The sequence below is a fragment of the Homo sapiens genome, chromosome 20 (genome assembly GCF_000001405.40).
Source record: "Homo sapiens chromosome 20, GRCh38.p14 Primary Assembly".
Lineage (NCBI taxonomy): Eukaryota > Metazoa > Chordata > Mammalia > Primates > Hominidae > Homo > Homo sapiens.
In genome coordinates, this window is record NC_000020.11 from 22,990,943 (window position 1) to 23,013,473 (window position 22,531).

At 43.8% G+C, this 22,531-nt stretch overlaps 1 long non-coding RNA gene across 13 annotated transcripts in view; it reads right to left on the reverse strand.

Moving 5' to 3' along the window:
- Positions 1-4,765: 4,765 nt before the first annotated feature.
- The window catches only part of LOC101929707 (uncharacterized), a 35,095-nt gene continuing 17,329 nt past the window's right edge, over positions 4,766-22,531 (reverse strand). For 5 of the 13 annotated variants that reach the window (XR_007067739.1, XR_007067734.1, XR_007067735.1 and 2 more), the window contains 4 exons: positions 19,220-19,327; positions 9,256-9,351; positions 8,645-8,996; positions 4,766-6,306 (listed from right to left, as the gene is read on the reverse strand). This is a non-coding gene — a long non-coding RNA (uncharacterized LOC101929707). Of the gene's footprint in view, positions 6,307-7,439; positions 8,429-8,644; positions 8,997-9,255; positions 9,352-19,219; positions 19,328-19,641; positions 19,786-19,830; positions 19,865-22,531 lie in introns of those variants that run through there. The other 8 variants (XR_007067736.1, XR_007067733.1, XR_007067738.1 and 5 more) reach the window with 8 other exon arrangements.

A 22,531-nucleotide genomic window follows, 5' to 3' on the forward strand; every position in this document is an offset into this window, starting at 1 on the left:
GTGGTCTGAGAGACAGTTTGTTATAATTTCTGTTCTTTTACATTTGCTGAGGAGTGCTTTACTTCCAACTATGTGGTCAATTTTGGAATAGGTGTGGTGTGGTGCTGAAAAGAATGTATATTCTGTTGATTTGTGGTGGAGAGTTCTGTAGATGTCTGTTAGGTCCACTTGGTGCAGAGCTGAGTTCAATTCCTGGATATCCTTGTTAACTTTCTGTCTCATTGATCTGTCTAATATTGACAGTGGGGTTTTAAAGTCTCCCATTATTATTGTGTGGGAGTCTAAGTCTCTTTGTAGGTCACGAAGGACTTGCTTTATGAATCTGGGCACTCCTGTATTGGGTGCATATATATTTAGGATAGTTAGTTCTTCTTGTTGAATTGATCCCTTTACCATTATGTAATGGCCTTCTTTGTCTCTTTTGATCTTTGTTGGTTTAAAGTCTGTTTTATCAGAGACTAGGATTGCAACCCCTGCCTTTTTTTGTTTTCCATTTGCTTGGTAGATCTTCCTCCATCCCTTTATTTTGAGCCAATATGTGTCTCTGCACGTGGGATTGGTTTCCTGAATACAGCACACTGATGGGTCTTGACTCTTTATCCAATTTGCCAGTCTGTGCCTTTTAATTGGAGCATTTAGCCCATTTACATTTAAGGTTAGTATTGTTATGTGTGAATTTGATCCTGTCATTATGATGTTAGCTGGTTATTTTGCTCATTAGTTGATGCAGTTTCTTCCTAGCCTTGATGGTCTTTACAATTTGGCATGTTTTTGCAGTGGCTGGTACCGGTTCTTCCTTTCCATGTTTAGTGCTTCGTTCAGGAGCTCTTTTAGGGCAGGCCTGGTGGTGACAAAATCTCTCAGCATTTGCTTGTCTGTAAAGTATTTTATTTCTCCTTCATGTATGAAGCTTAGTTTGGCTGGAAAATTCTTTTCTTTAAGAATGTTGAATATTGGCCCCCACTCTCTTCTGGCTTGTAGAGTTTCTGCTGAGAGGTCAGCTGTTAGTCTGATGGGCTTCCCTTTGTGGGTAACCCAGCCTTTCTCTCTTGCTGGCCTTAACATTTTTTCCTTCATTTCAACTTTGGTGAATCTGAGAATTATGTGTCTTGGAGTCGCTTTTCTCGAGGAGTATTTTTGTGGCATTCTCTGTATTTCCTGAATCTGAATGTTGGCCTGCCTTGTTAGGTTGGGGAAGTTCTCCTGGATAATATCCTGCAGAGTGTTTTCCAACTTGGTTCCATTCTCCCCGTCACTTTCAGGTACGCCAATTAGACGTAGATTTGGTCTTTTCACATAGTCCCATATTTCTTGGAGGCTTTGTTCATTTCTTTTTATTCTTTTTTCTCTAAACTTCTCTTCACAGTTCATTTCATTCATTTCGTCTTCCATCACTGATACCCTTTCTTCCAGTTGATCTCGTCAATTACTGAGGCTTGTGCATTCATCACGTAGTTCTTGTGCCTCAGTTTTCAGCTCCATCAGGTCCTTTAAGGACTTCTTTGCATTGGTTATTCTAGTTATCCATTCATCTAATTCTTTTTCAAAGTTTTTAACTTCTTTGCCATTGGTTCGAATTTCCTCCTTAGCTTGGAGTAGTTTGATCCTCTGAAGCCTTCCTCTCTCAACTCGTCAAAGTCCTTCTCTGTCCAGCTTTGTTCCATTGCTGGTGAGGAGCTGCGTTCCTTTGGAGGAGGAGAGGCGCTCTGATTTTTAGAGTTTCCGGTTTTTCTGCTCTGTTTTTTCCCCATCTTTGTGGTTTTATCTACCTTTGGTCTTTGATGATGGTGACATACAGATGGGTTTTTGGTGTGGATGTCCTTTCTGTTTGTTAATTTTCCTTCTATCAGTCAGGACTCTCAGCTGCAGGTCTGTTGGAGTTTACTGGATGTCCACTCCAGACCCTGTTTGCCTGGGTATCAGCAGCAGTGGCTGCAGAGCAGCGGTTATTGGTAAAATGCAAATGCTGCTGCCTGATCGTTCCTCTGGAAGTTTTGTCTCAGAGGAGTACCCAGCTGTGTGAGGTGTCAGTCCGCCCCTACTGGGGGGTGCCTCCCAGTTAGGCTACTCAGGAGTCAGGGACCCACTTGGGGAGGCAGTCTGCCCGTTCTCAGATCTCAAGCTGCGTGCTGGGAGAACCACTACTCTCTTCAAAGCTGTCAGACGGGGACATTTAAGTCTGTAGAGTTTATTTCTGTCTTTTGTTTGTCTGTGCCCTGCCCCCAGAGGTGGAGCCTACAGAGGCAGACAGGCCTCCTTGAGCTGTGATGGGCTCCACCCAGTTCGAGCTTCCCGGCCACTTTGTTTACCTACTCAAGCCTTAGCAATGATGGGCACCCCTCCCCCAGCCTCGCTGCTGCCTTGCAGTTCAATCTCAGACTGCTGTGCTAGCAATGAGCGAGGCTCCGTGGGCATAGGACCCTCCGAGCCAGGTGCAGGATATAATCTCCTGGTGTGCCGTTTGTTAAGCCCATTGGAAAAGCGCAGTATTAGGGTTGGAGTGACCCGATTTTCCAGGTGCTGTCTGTCACCCCTTTCTTTGACTAGGAAAGGGAATTCCCTGACCCCTTGTGCTTCCCGGGTGAGGTGATGCCTTGCCCTGCTTTGGCTCACTCACAGTGCGCTGCACCCACTGTCCTGCACCCACTGTCTGGCACTCCCCAGTGAGATGAACATGGTACCTCTGTTGGAAATGCAGAAATCACCCATCTTTTGTGTCGCTCACGCTGGGAGCTGTAGACTGGAGCTGTTCCTATTTGGCCATCTTGGCTCCACCCCTTTTTATGCTTTTTATAATAAATATGTATTACTTTCAAAATTGGAGATAAAATTTTGGAAGCAAAATAAGCATACAGAAAAATATGCTTTCCATTGTTGTGCTATGGGTAGCAGGCCGCTGAGACCTGGATCCCTGACACCATGTTCAGCTAGAGCTTCATGGGAAGCCCTGGGAGTTCTTGTAGAGACAGAAGCCAAGACTGGCTGTCACACCTCTGACCCTGAAAAAAATGTTTCATGGACTTCTACGGCAGCAAGTCAGATGCCCTGGGGTCTACCTGCCAGCACTGGGACAGTGCCTAGCAGCAGGGGCACAGTCAGTGTTTAGGCCATGGACTTGAGAGACAAATGTCCTGCTTTTGGCTAGTGATGGCTAAGTGGTGGCTGTCACCCTTGCATGTGGGCTAGCATTGGCTTATGGAACTTCAGTCAAACATACAAGTCCACATGCCCTGGGAGAAGGACCTAGAAATCAGACCAGCCCCTCAGCCCTGGGAGAAGGACCTAGAAATCAGACCAGCCCCTCGGAACTATTGAAGTGAAGGATTTATTTCCATTGGCTCTCTCACCTATTCCTTCATGTTCTTGTATATACAACTCTAGCTTGTTGGCTTCTGTGTCTCCCATTTCTTTGTTTTCCTCCTGCCTTAATGCAGAAGTGCACTTGAAGATGGGTGTGTTTGCTCCAAGATAGTCCATGAGATCTCTGAGCCATGGGATAGTCAAAGGAAGAGCAGAAGCCTGGGGCTGTGTGGGTGTCTGGGCCCAAGGGAGGGTTTATGCAGAGCAGTAAAAACAACTGACCCTTCAGAATCGGTGAGCTTAAAAGTGACTATCTTAAAAATCAAAAGGAGAATATTGTATTATATTAAACTCTGCCATAGGGCATGGCTCCATGTACACAGATCTGGGTATACTACTTGTGGAAGTCACTTTCTGTCTTGTCAACATCCATTCTTCCCTCCCCTATTTCAGAAGGCTTTGGCGGTGGGGCCTGACTGGTCTCAGTCCTTGAGGACACCCATCCCACCCCATCCTGCCTCTCCCATGGTGATTCTCTCCATAAATCCTGGTTCAAGAACAGACACATAACCCAGTTTGGTCAAAGAGACATGAGATCTGGGCCCCTGGAAAAGACACTCTCCTCTTTGGATGGTGAGGCATGTGAGTGTGAAGGTCAGAACTGCTGCAGCCACGCAGTGAGGGAAGCCAGCGGGCCCTGGGATGAAGCTGGCAGGATAGATGATGTCTTAGATCCAGTTGTTAAACCAACATGGAAGGGCCTTCTGATCTCTGGGCTTTTTAGGTGTTTCTTATGGTTTCTAGAAACAATGTTTCTTTTATTGTTCAAACTGGTTTGCATGGAGTTTTCAGTCATTTACACAGAAAACCTCTTAATTGGTTTCCACAGGGGTTATATTTTCCACAAGCATCAGTGAGAATAATGAATGTGTTGGATAAATAATAAGAATTGGGAAATTGCTGGAAAATCTAGGGTCTCTAGTTGTCAGAGAAACAAAAGGAAAGACATGAGATATGTGTCCAATTAAAGAGTAATCTAAGTCCCCAAGTTCAAAACCAGGGAATTCTGGCTGGGTGATAACATGATTACTTCACAAATTTTAACAAAACCTATAGCCAATTAGGCCTCAATTACCACAAATAATTTAGTCCAGCAGTCTGTAGGAATAAACACCAAGACACATTTTTTTACTGCCTTTTTCACTTGACACTTTAAATAACACTAAGGGAAACATGAGATCAATTGTAAAGAAATGTGGCCCAGGTTGAATAGCCAATTAAGAAAATATTCATGTGACCCATTTTAGGAAAACCTGATACTTGAATATCCTTCCATCTAGAAAAACTAATAGTTTAGGAGTAATTTTTAATACAGCATATCTTCTTAAAAGCAATTCAATAGAGGGTTTAAAAGATGAGCCACGAAAATGAACTGAAACAAATGAAATGTTGGTTCCAAGAAATCTCCAATTTTCAAATTTCATGTTTATCAACTAGGATGCCTTCACTGCAAGCAAAGAGGACTTTTCACACAGGCACAAACAGTAAGACAACGTATTACATTTGTTAAGAGGACGTTTAGGGTGCTGTGGGGTTCTGGGCTGTGATTCAGCCGCTGGCGATGCTGGCAGGAAAGGTCCTCCCTCCCTCTGCTTGGCCATCCTCAGTGGCTACATCTGCTCCCCTTGTAGTTGTGAGATGGCTTCAGGAGTTCTGGGTCTCAAACCCAGACATTTGACATCCAGGGAACAGGACAGAAACAGACCATCTCTTCACAGGATTCCTTAAGAATGAGGGAAGCTTTTCCAGAGGGTTCTGCAGCCATCTGTTTTTGACATGTTGGTCAGCACTAGGTCAGATCCCACCCCCAGCCCATTGCCAGGACTTTGTGACTACAAGATCTGCACAGCCTGGACCAGCCACGGGAAGGGGTGGAGTTGTGAGTTGTGGCCTCTGGGTCACCTAGGAAATGAGTGGATACCTGAACAAAACCAAAGTTTGATCAGGAATCTATTCTAGTTACATTGTTCTAGATTAGCAGTTTCTGAAGACATATGAATTCAGTTCTGGCTTGAATTGATTGGCTAAGAATTTAAAACACTTTTAAATTCAGATGAGAGTGTCAAGGTCAGATGAATTTAGGGGCTAGCAATTAGGGCAATTTTTTCCAGATGTTACTTCAGTTTTAGTCTGCTGTTTCAAATATACGGTAATTTACTTTGTAGACATGCTGAACACACAACTTTTGAGCATCAATGTATCGTGAAAATAAGGATTACTTATGCTTGCTTTGGATAGTATTCTGACAGAAAAATATAGATGTACTCCAATGGTAGTACTGAGAGGTGCTTTGGAAGTCGAATTTCTGTTGCTTCTTATAAAGTATTAAAATGTCATTTTAAATATGCCATTCTTTATATCTGATATTAAAATTTCCATAAAGACATGATAATTAAATTTTATAGGTAACTGAAGAATACAATTAATGCAATTCCAAACATGTAGTAATTAGTTTGATTGACATCAAATATGGAAAAAAGAAAAGTTGAACTTCTTGTGTCTAAACGTATTTTGGGAATAATCCCCATAAAAAAATTCAACCTTCTCAAAACAGCCTATTTTAACCTAATTTGGTGAATATAGATTTGTATGATAATGCTATGTTGTTTATCTTGAGGTATTTGGGGATGTGACCAGTTTTAGCCAACTCCCAAATAAAAATTAATCCAAATAGCATTTCTGGCAGTTTCCGAAATTGTTAAGCTGATTTGTCCTGCTGCAGCTTGTCATGATGACCATGATAACTGAGGCAGGTCAAATGGCTTCTTTATATTCTATTTTAGTTGTGAAAGACGTTATTTGGCCAGATGTTTCTAGAACCCAAACTTAGACTTGAAGAACACTTCCACCATCACCATTGTTGCTTCCTTGTTTGTCCATTTCTCTGGCAAAGGGAATTTCATTGCTGATCCTGCAATATTCTGAAAGGCTGATTTGCTGCTATGCCTGTGGAAAAATAACAATTTTATGTGCATTCTCATCTGTAACCCATAGGTGATATTCAAATTGTTCCTATCTGAGAAACTCTAAGGAGCTGGCCTTTCTCTAACAAGTCCTTTGGTGCAGTGGGGAAGGAATGCTGAGGTTTTGCAGCCTCGTGCTGCTGTGTGGGTTGATTCCAGTGGGCCTCTGCTTTGGTGCCCAAGACAACCACGTCGGCATCACCTGGGAACACACTAGAAATGAAAGTCCTGGGGCTGCCCAAGAGCCATCTGGGCCTGGCCCACCCATCTGTCTGCTAAGGAGTCCTCAGGGGGATCCTGATGCCCTCTCAAATTTGAGATCCACTGGTTTAGATTATTTTTTATTATTTCTCCCCTCAAAGAGCTGCAATTTGATAATAGTGAAAAATGGGTCTATATTAATGGTGTGTGTGTGTGTGTGTGTGTGTGTGTGTGTGTAAGGGGAGGGGGTTAAGGTTTAGAGGGAAAATTGTGAATTCCCCCCTGCTATAACCAACAATATCCTCAGTGTTTATAACCTAGCACTGCAGTTTCCCGGCCTTGCAGTGTGATGGCAGTACTAGAAGCCTGGACCCAGGAGGAGCACACGTTCTGCTACTCATGAATAAGTCACTGCAGGAGCCCCCTGGCTGAAGCTCAGTCCCAAGCCAGCACTGAATGGACTGAATGGCCTCTGTCTGGAAGTTTTCAGCAATGTGCACTATGATTTGGGATAGAAGAGTTTTGTTCATTTAACCAACAACCAGTGTGTGCCTGTTCTATGAGATGCACCATGCAAGGATGTCAGGACCTTTACAATTATGAACAACATTTGACTCAAGGGGTGGATACCATGTGGTGTGAGGGCCACCCGAATGGTGCACTGCCGTCTCAGTGTAGCAGAGTGGTCCTCCCTAGGATCACTGAACTGAAAAAAAAAGTTTCCCCAACCAGGAGGTTCTGATCCCATGCTCATTCTGCAGTTAGCAACTTCATGGGATATAATGAATGGATTCAAGTATGGGAGGAGATACAGAAGAACATCATTTGCTTTTTATAACACAGGTAATCCCTGTAAACCAGCACCCCTCTAGAGAGTCATGGGGCCTAATGGCTTTCTATGCTTAAGGATTCAGGGCTTGCCTCTCCGCCTTTATAAGCTGATGTGGGTTTATGCAAAAATAATAGTTTGAAATTAAATCCTCTAATAGTTTTCCTTCATAAAACTCCATTGACTCTAGGAAAATTAAAAAAAAAAAAACCTCATAAGCATAGGCCTGAAACATTCTAGAAAGTGTGTGGAGCTCAGATGTGAAGGGCACTGTGATATTACACAAACCTCCTCAAAGTTTCTGTTTTTTCTGAATGGCCTTGGGGTGTTCTTCTAAAGAGCAGCTGAGTGTGAGCAAGTTCAGTCTGGCTACAGAGTCACCCTGCCATCCAGGGCAAGTGGACAGAGGCTCTGACTACTCAGAGACGGGACTGAGAAGGTCATGCAATGTTTTCATGGGGACATTTCAATTTGGTTATTCTCAGGTCTTGATATCTTGATGCTTTGAAACACAATTAAGCATTACAATTTTTAAATTATCAAATCTTAAGCACAGAAGATGACCTTTGGCCCATTCCCGAGAAGCCGTGGGAAGACCCCCTATGAAATCTATAGATGTGGAGTCAGTGAAAGGATAGATTGAGCACCGTATGTGTGGACATTTCCCCCAGAGTCTAGCTATATCCTCCTGATGGTGTTTCCACGACTGTTAGAAAACCAATAAAAAGAGCATTAAAACACCATCATTTTATAATAAATCATTATAAATCATGCCTTCATAAAGCAGCTGATATCCAAAATTTTGTTGAAATTTTTCCCCCACTTGCACCATTGTAGAACATTGTAGCTTGGGAGAGACGGTGGCTCCATGGAGTGATTCCCACAGAAAGAGGCTGGTCACGAGAAGAGCAGTTGCCCAAGTGTGTGTGAGTGGCCTCGTCCCTGAACCATACCAGGTCAGAGTTACATCTGGGAGCATTGCAACAATTTTTTGCCCTTTTAGGGCTAGCTGACTTGAAAACGACCCTGTTGGCCCAGCCTGGTGGTAATCCGTCAAGCTCTGAACACACACCTGCTGAAAGAGATGTGAACTAAGTGGCATATGGTGTTGAGGGCAATGAACCCCAACAGTCAAGAGAGACTGAACAGGACAGAGAGCAAGTGTGAGTGCAGACACAAGACAGGTGAAGTGGCGCCCCAGCCCCTTAACTCCTCAAAGGCAAAGGGGCTGCCTCGCTGGCCCAGGACAGACAGAGGTAGGCAAAAGTGTTAAACACCTAAATAGACTTACAGTTACGTGACTGGATTCAAAGCCTAGCTCTGTATAGACTTCAGACTGGAGCAAGTCCCTGATGTGTTCATCTAAGAAATGGCCATTTCCACTTGCCCCATTCCTTTCCCAAGCAAGATCCGTGGGCAGGAGAGAGTGCCTGGAAAGACATTTTAAAGCATGGCACACATGTTAAGCTTGATCTTCAGAAAAACTGGATCTATTTTTGCTTGATTAATTGTCACCATAAGTGTTTCCTAAGATGTCTTCAATAACCAGGAAAAAGGCCTCAAGGGCCTTTTTCTCGTGAGTTTTCAAATGGATCCTCCTGCTGCCTGGCAAGTTTTCCTGCTGATGTCAATCTGTGATCTTCCTGTGGTGGAAAGACAAAAATTAAACAATGATTCAGCTCAACAGCCGCTCAAACATTTACTTGGTGTGGACTGTGTGCCAGGAAATATCTGGTTGCTAATATTCATTAGGCGGTTTTGGCCTGTGCTCATCCTGAGCCTGTTTACCTCTTCTATAAAATGGGGATAAAACAACTTATACCCTGTCGTGGTCCATTTGGCCTGCTATCACAATTTACCACCTTCTGAGCAGCTTGTAAACAACACAAATGTGTTACTCACAGTCCTGGAGTCTGGGAAGTCCAAGATCAAGGTGCCAGCAGATTTGGTATCAGATGAGAACCTGCTTCTTCACAGACAGGGTGCTCTCCCTGTAACCTTACATGGCAGAAAAGGAAAATAGCTTTCATGGTTTCTGTTAGAAGGATACAAATCCAATTCATGAACACTCCACCCCTGTGACTTCATCTTCCAAAGGCCACACCCCCTAATGCCATCACCTTGAGGGCCAGCGTTTCAACATATCAATTCTGGGGGTGGGTGCAAACGTTTAGTTCATAGAACACCCTTTGCCTATTGTGAGAATCAGATGCAAATGGTCCTTGAAGATCTCAGCTAACCATAAAAGGCATGCTCATGGAAGGAATTGCTGGTCTTTTCCACAAAGGCAAGCTGAGTTCCAGAACTGTCCACAAAGCTGTGCAGGACATTGTGAGTATTTAACGTTTCCTTTCCTTTGCCTCAGATCCAAGATGACCACAAATTGTTCCAACAAGGCATATAAAATCTCTACTTAAGACGGGACCAGCCAGGCCAGCCTCTCCTTCTGTTCCATCCACAGACCAGACCCAAGCAATTTTATCTTAAGTGCTGCCTAGTAATACATCAAAATCAAAGGCAGATTTACAAACACTCTGAAGACACCGGTCAGGCACCCCATAAAGATAACTGTGAAATGGAGACTGTGTCTCTTTGTGATAGGTTCCAAGTCTCTGTGCTGCCCTCAAATGTTTTCTCCCCACGCATTTTTTCAATAAACCATTGAAGGAAACTGGACGTTCTTTGAAGTGAGAGGTGTCCTTAGAGTGGCTCTTGACAAGTCCTACTTCTGAGAACCCACGCAGGGTGTCTAAAGCCAGCATCCACTCTGGTCAGGACCATGTCTTGGCATTCGGGCATTTAGCCTTCCCAGCTGATTGCATTGATCAGATTTGCTTCAGGCTGGCTCCACAACAGACAAACACTTGTAGGAGGCAGAAGGTGGGAGCTGGTGGGGTTGGTTCCCTGCCCACGTCCCCAAGGCCCTCACCACTCTAGTCCCCACAATCGAGGACTCGCCCCTCCCCAAAAGAGCCTCCTCCCTGCCCATGGAGACAGGCTAGAAATGCCACGGAGCCAACACTTCCAGGAGCTACCCGTGGGCAATGACAGACAGGACTTGGTGGGTGAGTAGTCACACCGGCCTCCTCAGCCCAGGAGCAGGCACAGCTAACCCTGCAGTATGTTGTACACTGTTTCCTAGAGCCCTCCCATGGGATTCAGCCCCAGTCGCCTGCAGCGGAAACCTGCTCACCAGCACCCCACGCACCTGCAGTGGAAGCCTGCTCACCTCCACCGTGTATCGGCTTGACCCCTACCGTGTCTTCCTTCCCCACTTTCCTGACGACGCATCCTGGGCTCACCTTCGGAAAAATCACTTCCCTCAAATCCTTGTTTCAAGACAGCTTTGAAAGTTCTCTCAACAAGACAGAAACAAAGTTTTGGGGATAAGAAGTAACTGCTGAAGCTATTTTCTCTCCTACAATGAATAATACAAAGTTATCTTGTTGTAGGGGCCTTCTAACCCTTAAATCACCATTGGTGACCTGGACCCAGAAGCCTCCGTAAGAATCCTCTTGTGGTGACCACTCTTAGTTCCATCTGAAAACTGACTCAGAAAGTTCACCAAGGCTCACTGTTAATCCCAGAGTGTGGCCTCTGGGCATACAGAGGGCAGAATGAAAGCATGATGGCTCTGCCTGCAGTCTCTGTACTAAGGGGGAGTTTAAGGGTAAATTGAGAGAATGAGAAGGGCCAATGGAGTTGCTTTGCTCGTCAGAGGTGTGTCATCCTGTGCCACCTCTAATAAAGCTGTCATCATCACTGGCACAAAGAGATCTGAGCCCAGGACCAGGGACAAAGGCCACCTTGCTCATTCCAGGGTTCCCAGTGCTACACAGAGAAGATGCTCAAAGCAGTCTGTGTCAAGCACCCAGGAGAAAGCAAGGCCACAGCTGCAGCAGGACTGGTTCGGCTGGTCAAGATAAAATGAGCCATTTTCAGATTCAGTTTGGTAAACTTACATACAGAAAGAAGGACTAAATAGCTAAAGGTGCTAGCTCCCAAGTCCTCATCCCACACACCAAACAGGACAACTTCAAAACAAAAGGGGCCCATGACTGCTACAGACATTGCTGGGCCAATCCCGTGCTGAGCTGAGCAGAAGAATCCGCACCTGGAGTGCATGAGGCAGAAAGCCTCAAATTGCATCAGAACCCAGGAGGCGATGAGGAACCATCTCATGACAGCCTCTCAGGCAGATGAGGCAAGATAGATTCGAGGTCCTCACAGGACTTCCAAAACCTTGGTGTTCTGGGAGATCGCAAAGCGTTCTGCCAAGACTCAGAGTCAATCTGGTTCATGTCTTTGCCTGTGTGGCCTGTGTGGATACATGTGAGGTCACCAGGATGCCACAGTAGAATTATTCTCCTATAGTATAGTGAATTAGCAAATGAATTATGAGCAGAAATCAGAGCATTCTAAATGTCATTCTTCTCCACTGTCATATTTGAGCACCTACTTATGCCAGATGTTATATTAAACTTTGGGGTGCATTGTATCTGTATTACCTAAGATTCTCCAGAAAAACAGAACCAACAGAGAGATTTATTATAAAAAATTATATAATGAGATTCATTATAAGAATAAATGTCTAATGTAATCCCAGAGGCAGAGAAGTCCCATGATCTTCCATCTGTAAGCTGGAGACCTGGAGAAGCTGGTAGGAAAGCTGATGGTGTGGCTTAAAGACATAAGAGCTAGAAAACTGTTGGTGTAGAATCTGGTCCAGGCCTGAAAGCCTGAAAACCAGGAACTCTGAGGGCAGGAAAGGGCTGATGTTCCAGTTCAAGCGGTCAGGCAGAGCTAAAGCAAACTTCCTCCACCTTTTTGTTCTAATCAGACTCTCCACAGATTGGATGATGCCCACCCACATTGGAAAGGGCCATCCTCTTGACAGAGAATGATACATTTGGTCTTGATAGTCCTTCAAACCCAATCAATCAATCAATCAATCAACACAGAAACCACTAAAAGTGTTGTGTGAAGTTGCTTAGTCTGTCTGTATGAGAGTAAAATCTGATAGCAGTTAGCTCCTCCTCAAGGAGGATGACTGACCCCAGCAAGTCATCCCCTGGAATTATGGAACTAGGTGTTTTTGTGCAGCAGGATGTCACATGCAGATTTGGTTGCCAGTGGGAGTGCTGCCATCCTCCCTCCATGTGATTAGCAGAGAAGTGAGTCTGTGAAGCAGAAAAAAGGAAACAGAAACAGAGAGGGAGGGCCAAGAGATGGAGATATTGCTGCTTGGGCTCCCACAACTTTTCATCTGCTAGTTTCTGTCCTTTTCCAAGATTTGATAACATTCCTATCACAGAGATTCACTGCCCTGAGCCACCCCAGAGACTGTGGGTTAAGTTCCCTTCTATGTGTGGGGAGATGCTGTTTCAACTCAAGTTGTTTCTGTTTCATGCAGGCAAATTATTGTGTTAGTATACATGCCAATTTCATTCACTGAGGAACTAGTTCCATTAACAGGCCTCTTGCAAATATCTAGACTCATTGATTATTTGGCATACGCAACGTCCACAGCAGCCACACCTGCCACCTCCATTTTGACTCAAGAGATGCTTAAGTGGTGGTGGCTCAAATTGCCACCCTTCAGAAAATTCTGTGTTGCCCAAGTCCTTGGGGATTCATATTCAATATGAAAAGCAAGAGGGAAACCTATCTCCATGTAGAGTGAGAGAGAACCCATTCCTCAGGGTCATCAGATTCTATTTGAAGATCTTGCCAGAAACTTGGTTTATATAAACATGAGTCTTGTGATCAAAGTCAAGTTTTCCCGTTAAACTTACTAAATGTCACATCACAATAATAACAGGCACTGTTTAACTCCAAACTGAGATGCTTTGAGAAATTATTTCAATGGCTCTTTTGAATGCTTTTATTTCCCCAACAGGCCAATAAACCCCAAACCCTCTGTTATTTCCTTTCCACCCACTCTGTGTTTACAACATTTATTTTCTGGCTATTGCATGCTACACATGCAATCCTAAACTTAGACATAATTGCATGATTTCCCTGATATCCCTGTCTTTTGACAGATGATTACAAATGTCTTTAGTAAATGGTCACCATGAAAATACTGACATGGAGTACATCACTTTTCTTGCACACCTGGGGTGTTTACAGTGGAATGAATGTTGTGTCGGTTATCATTCCTAAATCTTTCATTGCAATTGAGAGTCAGCTGTTAATCATTTAATTTTGTTTTCCCAGTTTGCTGTGTCTTGTCATCTCCTATTCTTCCCAGGAGAGCTCCAATTTTTTTAAATGCCTTGAACATTTTGTTCCTGCATATAAGAATTAATGTGCATTCCAGTTGGACGTTTTCAAATTTGTAACAGGAGTAAGCCACGTGACCTGCGGCAGCACCATCTCCATCTTCTCCACGTGCCCCAGCCTTTCCTGTCCACACTCAGCCCATTGCCTTCTCTATGGCTTCTGTTTGCATTGCTGCCATTATTCCATCTTGAACTTCCAAAATCCTTGGACATCTGCCTCTCTTATTGGTCACTCACATAATATTATCAAGGAAAGTGAAAAACACATAGGTAAAGGCTAACAAGTAAATAAGTAAATTAATGCAACAAGTTTTGCTCACTCAGCATGGTGCATTTTAGGCACTCAATAAAGGCAGGTTAAATCCATGATTAAAAGCCAAAAATTCAAATGAACTTGAGTGTCTGTAAAATTTATTATCCCATATATGCTAGCTGTCTCATCTTCTGTAAGAGTTTTTTTATGTATTCTGCATATGTGTTCTTAAAATAATGTGGTAGTGGTGCAAAGATAGGCAAGAACAATGAGAAGGATTAGGGGGTCTAGAAGCAGACCCACCTGATTTAGGCACAGAAACCGCTGAAAGGCAGTGAGAAAATTGTGGTCTTTTCAATAAAGCACTGGGTCCACTGGGCTTCCATGTGGGATAAAATGGACTTGACCCCTACTCCGTATGCAAAAATTATTAGCAGATAAATAGTGAATGAAAATGTGAAAAGTAAAATAGTAAAGCTTTTAGAAGAAGACAGAATATTATTATGACAGTATACAAAAGGCAGCAACCTCAAAACAACATCAACAACACAAAAAAATACCAGACTGAATATCCCTATCCAAAATGCTTGGAAACAGAAGTATTTCAGACTTCGAATTTGGCATGTAGGGGTGTGATATTTGAATATTTGCATTATATACTGTACTTATGGTTGTGCATCCCTAATCCAAAAATTTAAAATCTGAAATGCTCCAATGAGCATTTCCTTTGAGCATAATGTAAATGCTCAAAAGTTGCAGATTTTATAGCATTTCAGGTTTTGGTTTTTATAATTAGGTATACCCAATTAGTATTGAGAAAATAAATTATCTTAAAAATTAGAATGCCTTTTTAAAATATATCATTAAGATAGTGAAAACACAATATATAGACTTAGATAAGAAATTTGCAATACATTTATCATGTATGATTTCAAAGCTAGCTCAAAACTTCTTTGGAATAAAATGGAGCAAAACAAAGAATAACTGGCATTGATTGAGCACTTACTGTGTATTTCTGGCTATTGCATCCACCATTATCTAATTTAATCCTCATGAAAATCCTCAATGGCAGTTGTTACTAAATCCATATTTCACAAGATGCAGGGTCAGTGGTAATGGTGCAGGGAGTTGTACTTAGACAGATTAAGTAACTTACCCAAGCCCACAAAGATAACAAATGGCAGTCAGAAGCCAAACTCTATCCCACAGCTCCTGTATAATTTCAGGCCTAGCTCTTAACCAGTGCATTCAGCCAACCATCTTTTCTCCCATCTTTCCATCTGTGTATCTTTCCTTCCATTCATCCTCCTATCCATCTGTCCATTATTCCTTTCTTCCTTTTTTCCTCTCATTCATCCATTGTGATACAAGGCCTTAAATTTACGTCCACTATCATGTGCTACCTTGACACCTGGTGGAATTGGGAGGACCTCAAATGGCCTAATTCCAGGTTTCCCTCCCTACTCTGTTTCCATGATAAGGCCCCCTAGCCAAATAACACTACTTCTAAAGGGGGCCAGATGCAGTTCCTGCTTATCCCTGAGTAACAGGTTTTAGTTCTTTGCCAACCCACAGAAATATTTAAATAAGGCAATCACATCTTCCCACAGGAACCAGAGGACACCTACTCTCTCTCTCTCTCTTTTTTTTTTTTTTTTTTTTTTGATACAGAGTCTCACTCTGTTGCCCAGGCTGGAGTGCAGTGGCTCATTCATGGCTCATTGCAGTCTTGACCTCTCCGGGCTCAAGCAATCCTCCCATCTCAGCTTCCTGAGTAGCTGGGACTATAGGTGCACCGTCATACCCAGCTTTTTTATTTTATTTTATTTTATTTTTTTTTGGTATTTTGTAGAGACAGGGTTTTGCCATGTTGACCAGGCTGGGCTGGTCTCTAACTCCTGGGCTCAAGTGATCTGCCCTCCTCAGCCTCCCAAAGTGCTGGAATTACAGGTGTGAGCCACTGTGCCCAGTCATTCTACCCTCTTGACACTACAAAGCCTACCTCCCACAGCCTCTGATTATTCACTTTGTTCCCAAGTGCAGCCCCTTGTGTGGCCCTGCACAGTGTGATAATGCCTACAATTTTACTTGCGTTTTAAATTGATGTTTTGTTTAAATGTACTATGAAAATATCACCTCTGCACATGCAGACTTAAGGTCTCTGACACATTCAACAATGCAAAGATGACAGGACTGCAGGGAAGGTACGCAACATTCTGGCAAGGCAACAGTGAAGGCTTAAGAAAGGTCAGCTGGGCCGGCGCGGTGGCTCACACCGGTAATCCCAGCATTTTGGGAGGCCGAGGAAGGAGAATCATCTTGAGCCCAGTGGCGTGAGACCCACCTGGGCAATGGAGGAAAACCTGGTCTCTACATAATATAAAAATAAATTAACCAGACGTGCTGGCTCACACCTATGGTCCCAGCTACTCAGGAGGCTGAGGTGGGAGGATTTCTTGAGCCTGGGAAATCAAGGCCGCAGTGACCTGTGACCACGCCACTGCACTCCAGCCTAAGTGACAGAGCCAGACCGTATCTCAAAAAATTTTTAAAAAGACAGATAAAAGTCAGCTGGATTTCCACCAATAAGGAGAATATGCTCATAAAAGTGATGAATGCCCTTCTCCTATGGGAAGGACAGTGCAGGGGGCTAACGCACAAGGAGTGACTCCCAATCAGCCCCTGAGCAGGTCACCATTAGAGGCCCCAAGAAAGAGGGGCTCTGAACCCAAGACACCCTCAGAGCCTTGGCACTTAGAATCCCTCCTGGCCCAGCCAGTCTATGGGTGGGAAGATTTCTGTGGCAGGGCGAGGAACCTGGCTCCAGTCTCAGGCTGGTACCCCAGGCACCACCCCTCCCCTCCTCTGTCACGGGAGGGTTATGCACTTCCAGTTCCTCAGCAGTCTTCCTCCCCAGTCTTGAACACTGGGAAAGGTGGCTTCCAGCTTACTATTTCCCCAAGAATGAATTTAAATTCATATTTTGTCTTTTCTACTCCAAGAAATAGAAAACTTAGAGATGAAACTGGAGAGAGAAAATATTTTACAACACTCAAAACTGTGAGCCTTAAAGTGCTGCAGTAAACTACATTTGAGGAGGTCAAGTTTCGCAAGTCCTCTTGTTCTACTGAAAACCTCGCAATTGTCATTCAATCGCATGGATTCAATAGTCATGCAGTCCCAGGGCTTGTCAGCCCAGGATATATACCCAAGGAACATGCCTGGGACCAGGCACCATGCTGTTTATAAAGTTCTCCAGGTGATTCTGATGCTGACGCAGGGTGAGGACGCTGAGCTACTCTGAGCTTCCCTAGTCACAGGTGAAGCCAGGAAGACCCAGACATCCCAACAAAGGGTGAGCCCATGGCCCGCAGTCATTTAGGATGGAACTTGCGATGACTGACTTGGATCCGTGTTTTCACTCCTGCACAGCATGCCATAGCTCTGTCACAGGTGAGTTAGAAAGAATGCCGGAAACATTCATCTTCTCACTCTGCATCTTCTTAGGAGACTGGCTGAAATATCAGCTGCCTAGAAAGATCCCTACATTTCCAGGGTAAATCTATACCAGATATAAAGCATGTGGCAATAAAGTCACAGGGACAGTGAGAGTCATATAAAAGGAATTCAATTCTATCCCATTCCACAAGGATGGCACAGGGACAGAAAATTACATTGTTTTTACTTCTCCCCAGTCTACCAAAAATTGAGTTGACCTACAACCAAGACACACACACAGATGTGATGTTTACACACAGTAATTTTAGGAAAGACAATATAATAAAATAAAAATCAGGAATCAGAAACAGAGAAAACATTTTTAAGGATAAAAAGAAAAAAAATATATAGACAGATATTGAATGAATCATGAAGCATCACTTGTAGATGCTTAGAACTAAAGAAAATAATATCTAAATATGTATTAAAGGGGATTTAATTAAATATATTATGAGATGCCTATACAATGCAGTCATGAAGAATGAGGTGGCTTATGTAATGACATGAGGTCATCTCCAACACAAACAAAGGCAATGCACATTCAGGCCATAGCCTGCACCCTGCTGCCACCCTTGGGAGAAGAGACCCCCAGCAGCAGCGGAGGCCTCCAGGGAGGGAATCAGGGTGGGTAGAGATGGGAAGGAGGTGATATTCGTGATATATACCTTGTGAGTGTGTGTGTGTATATACACATATATGTATACACATACCTATATGTATATATGTACACATATATGTATATATACACATGTGTGTATATGTGTATATGTATACATATATGTATATATACACATGTGTGTATATGTGTATATGTATACATATATGTATATATACACATGTGTGTATATGTGTATATGTATACATATATGTATATATACACATGTGTGTATATGTGTATATGTATATGTATATGTAGATATATATATGTATATATACACATATGTATATGTATATATGCACGTGTGTATATACATAGACATACAATATATACCTATATATGTACATATATACACATATGTATATGTGTGCATATATATAATCTCCAATTTCTCAAATAAAAATAACACTAGGACTATCGTTTAAAAGAGGTATATATAATTTTTAGAGAAATAGAAATTCAAGACTAAAAAGAGAAAAACTCAAGTAACCTAGAGACCTTAGGGTCCCGAATAAATCATTTAAAAATTTCCTTCCTGGCCTGTGAAGAAAAGGATGGGAAAGGAATAGCTGAACTCAGGAAAAGCCACCTGAAATGAAAAACACTTGGGGATAATGTCCCCAGCCCCACGTCTGGGCTGCTCAGAAGCTGTGCAATTTGTGAGTGGCAGCATTCTCCTCTGAACCCCCAGACACTGGAACACTTTCTTCTTCACACCAAGAACGTGGGTCTTCAAGGTGCTGTCTCTGGACACTGCCCAGTTCTAACGGGCACACTCCCTTAGAGCAAAGTCCACACCCACACAGCCTGGCCAAGAATTCCACCTCCTCCAGTGTCTGCCACGACAGATTTCTTCCTCTTTGGTCATGGGCCCACATGGTGGTGATGACAAACAGTGCCTTGAGGTAAGAGCTATTTCCTGGAGACAAAGTATGTTCTAATGCTGAACATCTTAGGCAGAATGGCACTCTGAATGATTCTAAACTATAAAATCTCCTAGCAGGGACCCTTGAATCATGCCATGTAAACAAACTACCACATCTCCCCCTCGAGTCTGTTCTGCTTGTCTTCTGTCACGATCACTCTGGGATCACTGATTTCTATATTTTCCCCTGGCCTTTCTCCCTTTACTCTCCCTGTTTAAGCTGATAGACAAGCTGAACACGTCCTTACCTTGGAGGAGGTTGTGGCAGAGGGGAAGAAGAACTTGTCTGCAACAAACTTCACTTGCCCGATTGTGTTTTCCCAAAGCCCGCACATGTTGGAGATTGCACCTGGTGGCTGGAAGAGGGTGGGAGAAGCTATCAGGACAGTGCCCTGGGTGGCTGGGAAGGTGATGGGCAGTGTGAGTCCTGGGGTGGAAGCCTGGCTATGCGCTCAGCTGTGGGGCACCCAGAGGGGTGGCAAGACCTGAGGTTTGCTCAGGGAGCTCAAGGTTAACAGAGATCACACACCCTTCTCCATGAGGCCCTAAAGGGAGGCACCTCTCCTAATGCCGAAGATGGCAGTTAACAGGAATTTAGTTGTGGGGAGGGGGTTATGGGTCAGAATGACCTTGATTTAAGGACGCAGAGATAAGTTTATTTCTTGCATACCTGAGCATGTGGGCTGTAAGTCCTCATGCCTGCTGTTGTCCAGGGCTTGTCCACTCTCACTATAACTTTTGGTTTTGATCTGTTTTTTTTTTCTTTTATTTCTATTTTTAAATAGAAGAGGCTTAGCCAGGTGTAATTCCAGTACTTTGGGATGCCAAGGCCAGTGAATTGCTTGAGGCCAGGAGTTCAAAACCAGCCTGGTCAACATGGCGAAACCCCAACTCTATAAAAAATACAAAAATTAGCCGGGCATAGTGGTGCATGCCTGTAATCCCAGGTACTCAGGAGGCTGAGGCAGGAGAATCCTTTGAACCTGTGAGGCAGAGGTTGCAGTGAGCTGAGATCACGCCACTGCACTCCAGCCTGGGCAATAGAGCCAGAACCTGTCTCAAAAAATAACATAAAGCAAAATAAATAAATAGGAGACACTTCAGGCAGAGCCCAGAAAGGTCAAATGAGAGCCTGTGAGCACCCGAAGGGCAGGGTCCCGGCCTCACCCTCTGGGTCCCCAAGTTTGACACAGGCTCAGAGGAGAGCGGGCTCCGCCAGTATGGTGGATATGGAGGACAGAGGAGGTTGTGCTTTCTGGCTTCCTGCCAATGTGTTTTATCTGCGAGACCACATCAATCCTCCTGGAAGAAACAGCAGGTCTTCCAGACAAATCCAATTGTCCTAGAGAGTGGAGAACACACTAGGGGCTTGTGCAGTGCCCTTTATGAAGGGGAACCCCAGAGTTCCTGGTGAGAAACAGCCGTAGGTAACAGACACCGTCTGCACCCCTGCCCCCCAACCCACCTCACCATGGGGTGGGCGAGGTCCCAGAGAATGACCTGCTGGGACTGGAAAGGTCCCACCCATAGCCTTGGACTGTTTGTTCTCAAGAAGCCCGCCAATACGTGGGATAAAGTGCTCAAAGATGACAGCTGGAGATACAACTGAAGCTCCTTACTGCCCTTCTGTCTACAAAAATGACGTGACAAAAAGCAGGCTTGGATGAGAAAAGAGGAGATTAGACACTAACTGCATTTCCCACTAAAAAACACAGAAATTTTGCCATAAAACCCACAAATAATTTTAGAGAAGTGGATGCTGTGGCAGGATTCTGCTGGGAGCTGGGTTGTGGGAGGGAGGTGGGCTCAGGGACAAGGAACTTCATGCATCTAATCTGCCAGGTTAATGGGATTAACCATCATCATTTTTAACTTTCCCTTCAGGGGAAATTTGACTGGAAAGCCGTTCCCCAGCTCTATAACCCAGCCTCTGCAGAACAAATGGGACAGGCGGCTACTGAGAATACAGGGCACACACCACTGCCAATGCCCCTCCCTGGGCACCACTCTGCCCCATCCAACCCTCTTCTACAGAGGCTCCTGATGGAAAAACAAACACCACCACCTGTGGGCTAAATATCAACTAAAATTTTGTTTCTTTAGCCTGCAACCTTTTTTAAAAAGCAATTGCAAATAATTTTTCATCAAATGTGAATTTTGGTAAAATTACTAGATGTAGCAAAATAGGCCCCATAGTACTACATGATCAGATAGGGCTGAAGTGCAGCTCTCCTTTTAGATGGGGAATAGCATCCCACCTGGCCATGGTCCCCACCACTCCCTATTGCCCTACTACCTTGGTCCACTTTATTAACTTAAATTATTCCCTGACCCCTGTAGACATTTGGGACCATGACCTCTGGGATCCTGGAAACAGAAAACCTTTCAAGACCCAGCTCTGTCGTGGTGTGGCAGGATGGCTCTCCAGCAAGCATTTAACCATCAACTGTAGACTTCCCAGCTCTAACAGCAGCCATGATATCTCCTGCTGATACCTCACAAGGCAGTAGTGACACCAGCTAGGATGGGCTTGAAATGGTTTTTGAAGATTACAAACAAGTTTATTCTTGAAGTAGTGAGGCAAGCACCTTTTGCCATCTTCGATTAAGTGTCCCTGTGGATATGGCCTTAAGGCACTTCCTTCTGATGAAAATGCTGTCCTATTCCTCCAGGTCTACACACAGGGTAGGCCTGGGACACACCCAGGTCGGTCACCTCCCTCACAGGCATTTATGCCAATGGTCTCTGCTCAGAGAATTCAAGGTGCTCATTTGAAGCCTGCTGAGTATGAAATTGATAACTTCCTTTGCTATTTCAGTTCACAAACTATGACCCTTTTATGTGAAACTCTGAAGACCCTCCTAGCACACACCTGGATTCTGAGAAAGCTTTCCAATTATTTTTTTCTCAAACGAAAATTCTGAAGCTTACTTTGAAAGGATCTAGATTTCCAAAGACAGGGCAATGATGTTCTGAGAGTAATTGAGGCTGGCAAACATCTCCACTTAAGACAGCTGTCTGCCTCTCACACTCACATTAGGTACACCAAGCTATGTCTAACCCTCCGTTTCATCATTGCAAATCAACACCTTGCAAAATAAATGTACAACAGCCCTCCCCTCAAGCCCTTTCCAACTCCCATCCTGGTCCAGAGCAAAAGTCAGCAGAAGCTGAGAGTGAAATGATGGCTGATTATGGCAGTTGGGCTGACACTGTCAGTGAAGCTACTAGGTCCCACTAGTTGGTGGGCATGGCTTTCATTGCTGATAAGAAGGTACACTATAGCTGATGCCTGGACCAATCCCATTTGGACTTAACAGTGATGCTCTTGAAGTGGTACAGCATATAATTAATTGAAAATTTCACACTGCAGGGTATAAATGTGCCCTATATAAAAATGTATATAAATTGTATATAAACAAAATCTGAATTTAGTGAACGTACTGTTTTGTTTAAAATTCCAAAACGATTAGTGAAACAAGATTCATTTGGTCCTCATTTTACATATCTAGGATCGTTAGCTTTTTCCTAGGAATGATTTTAGAGAAGGAGGGAGAAAT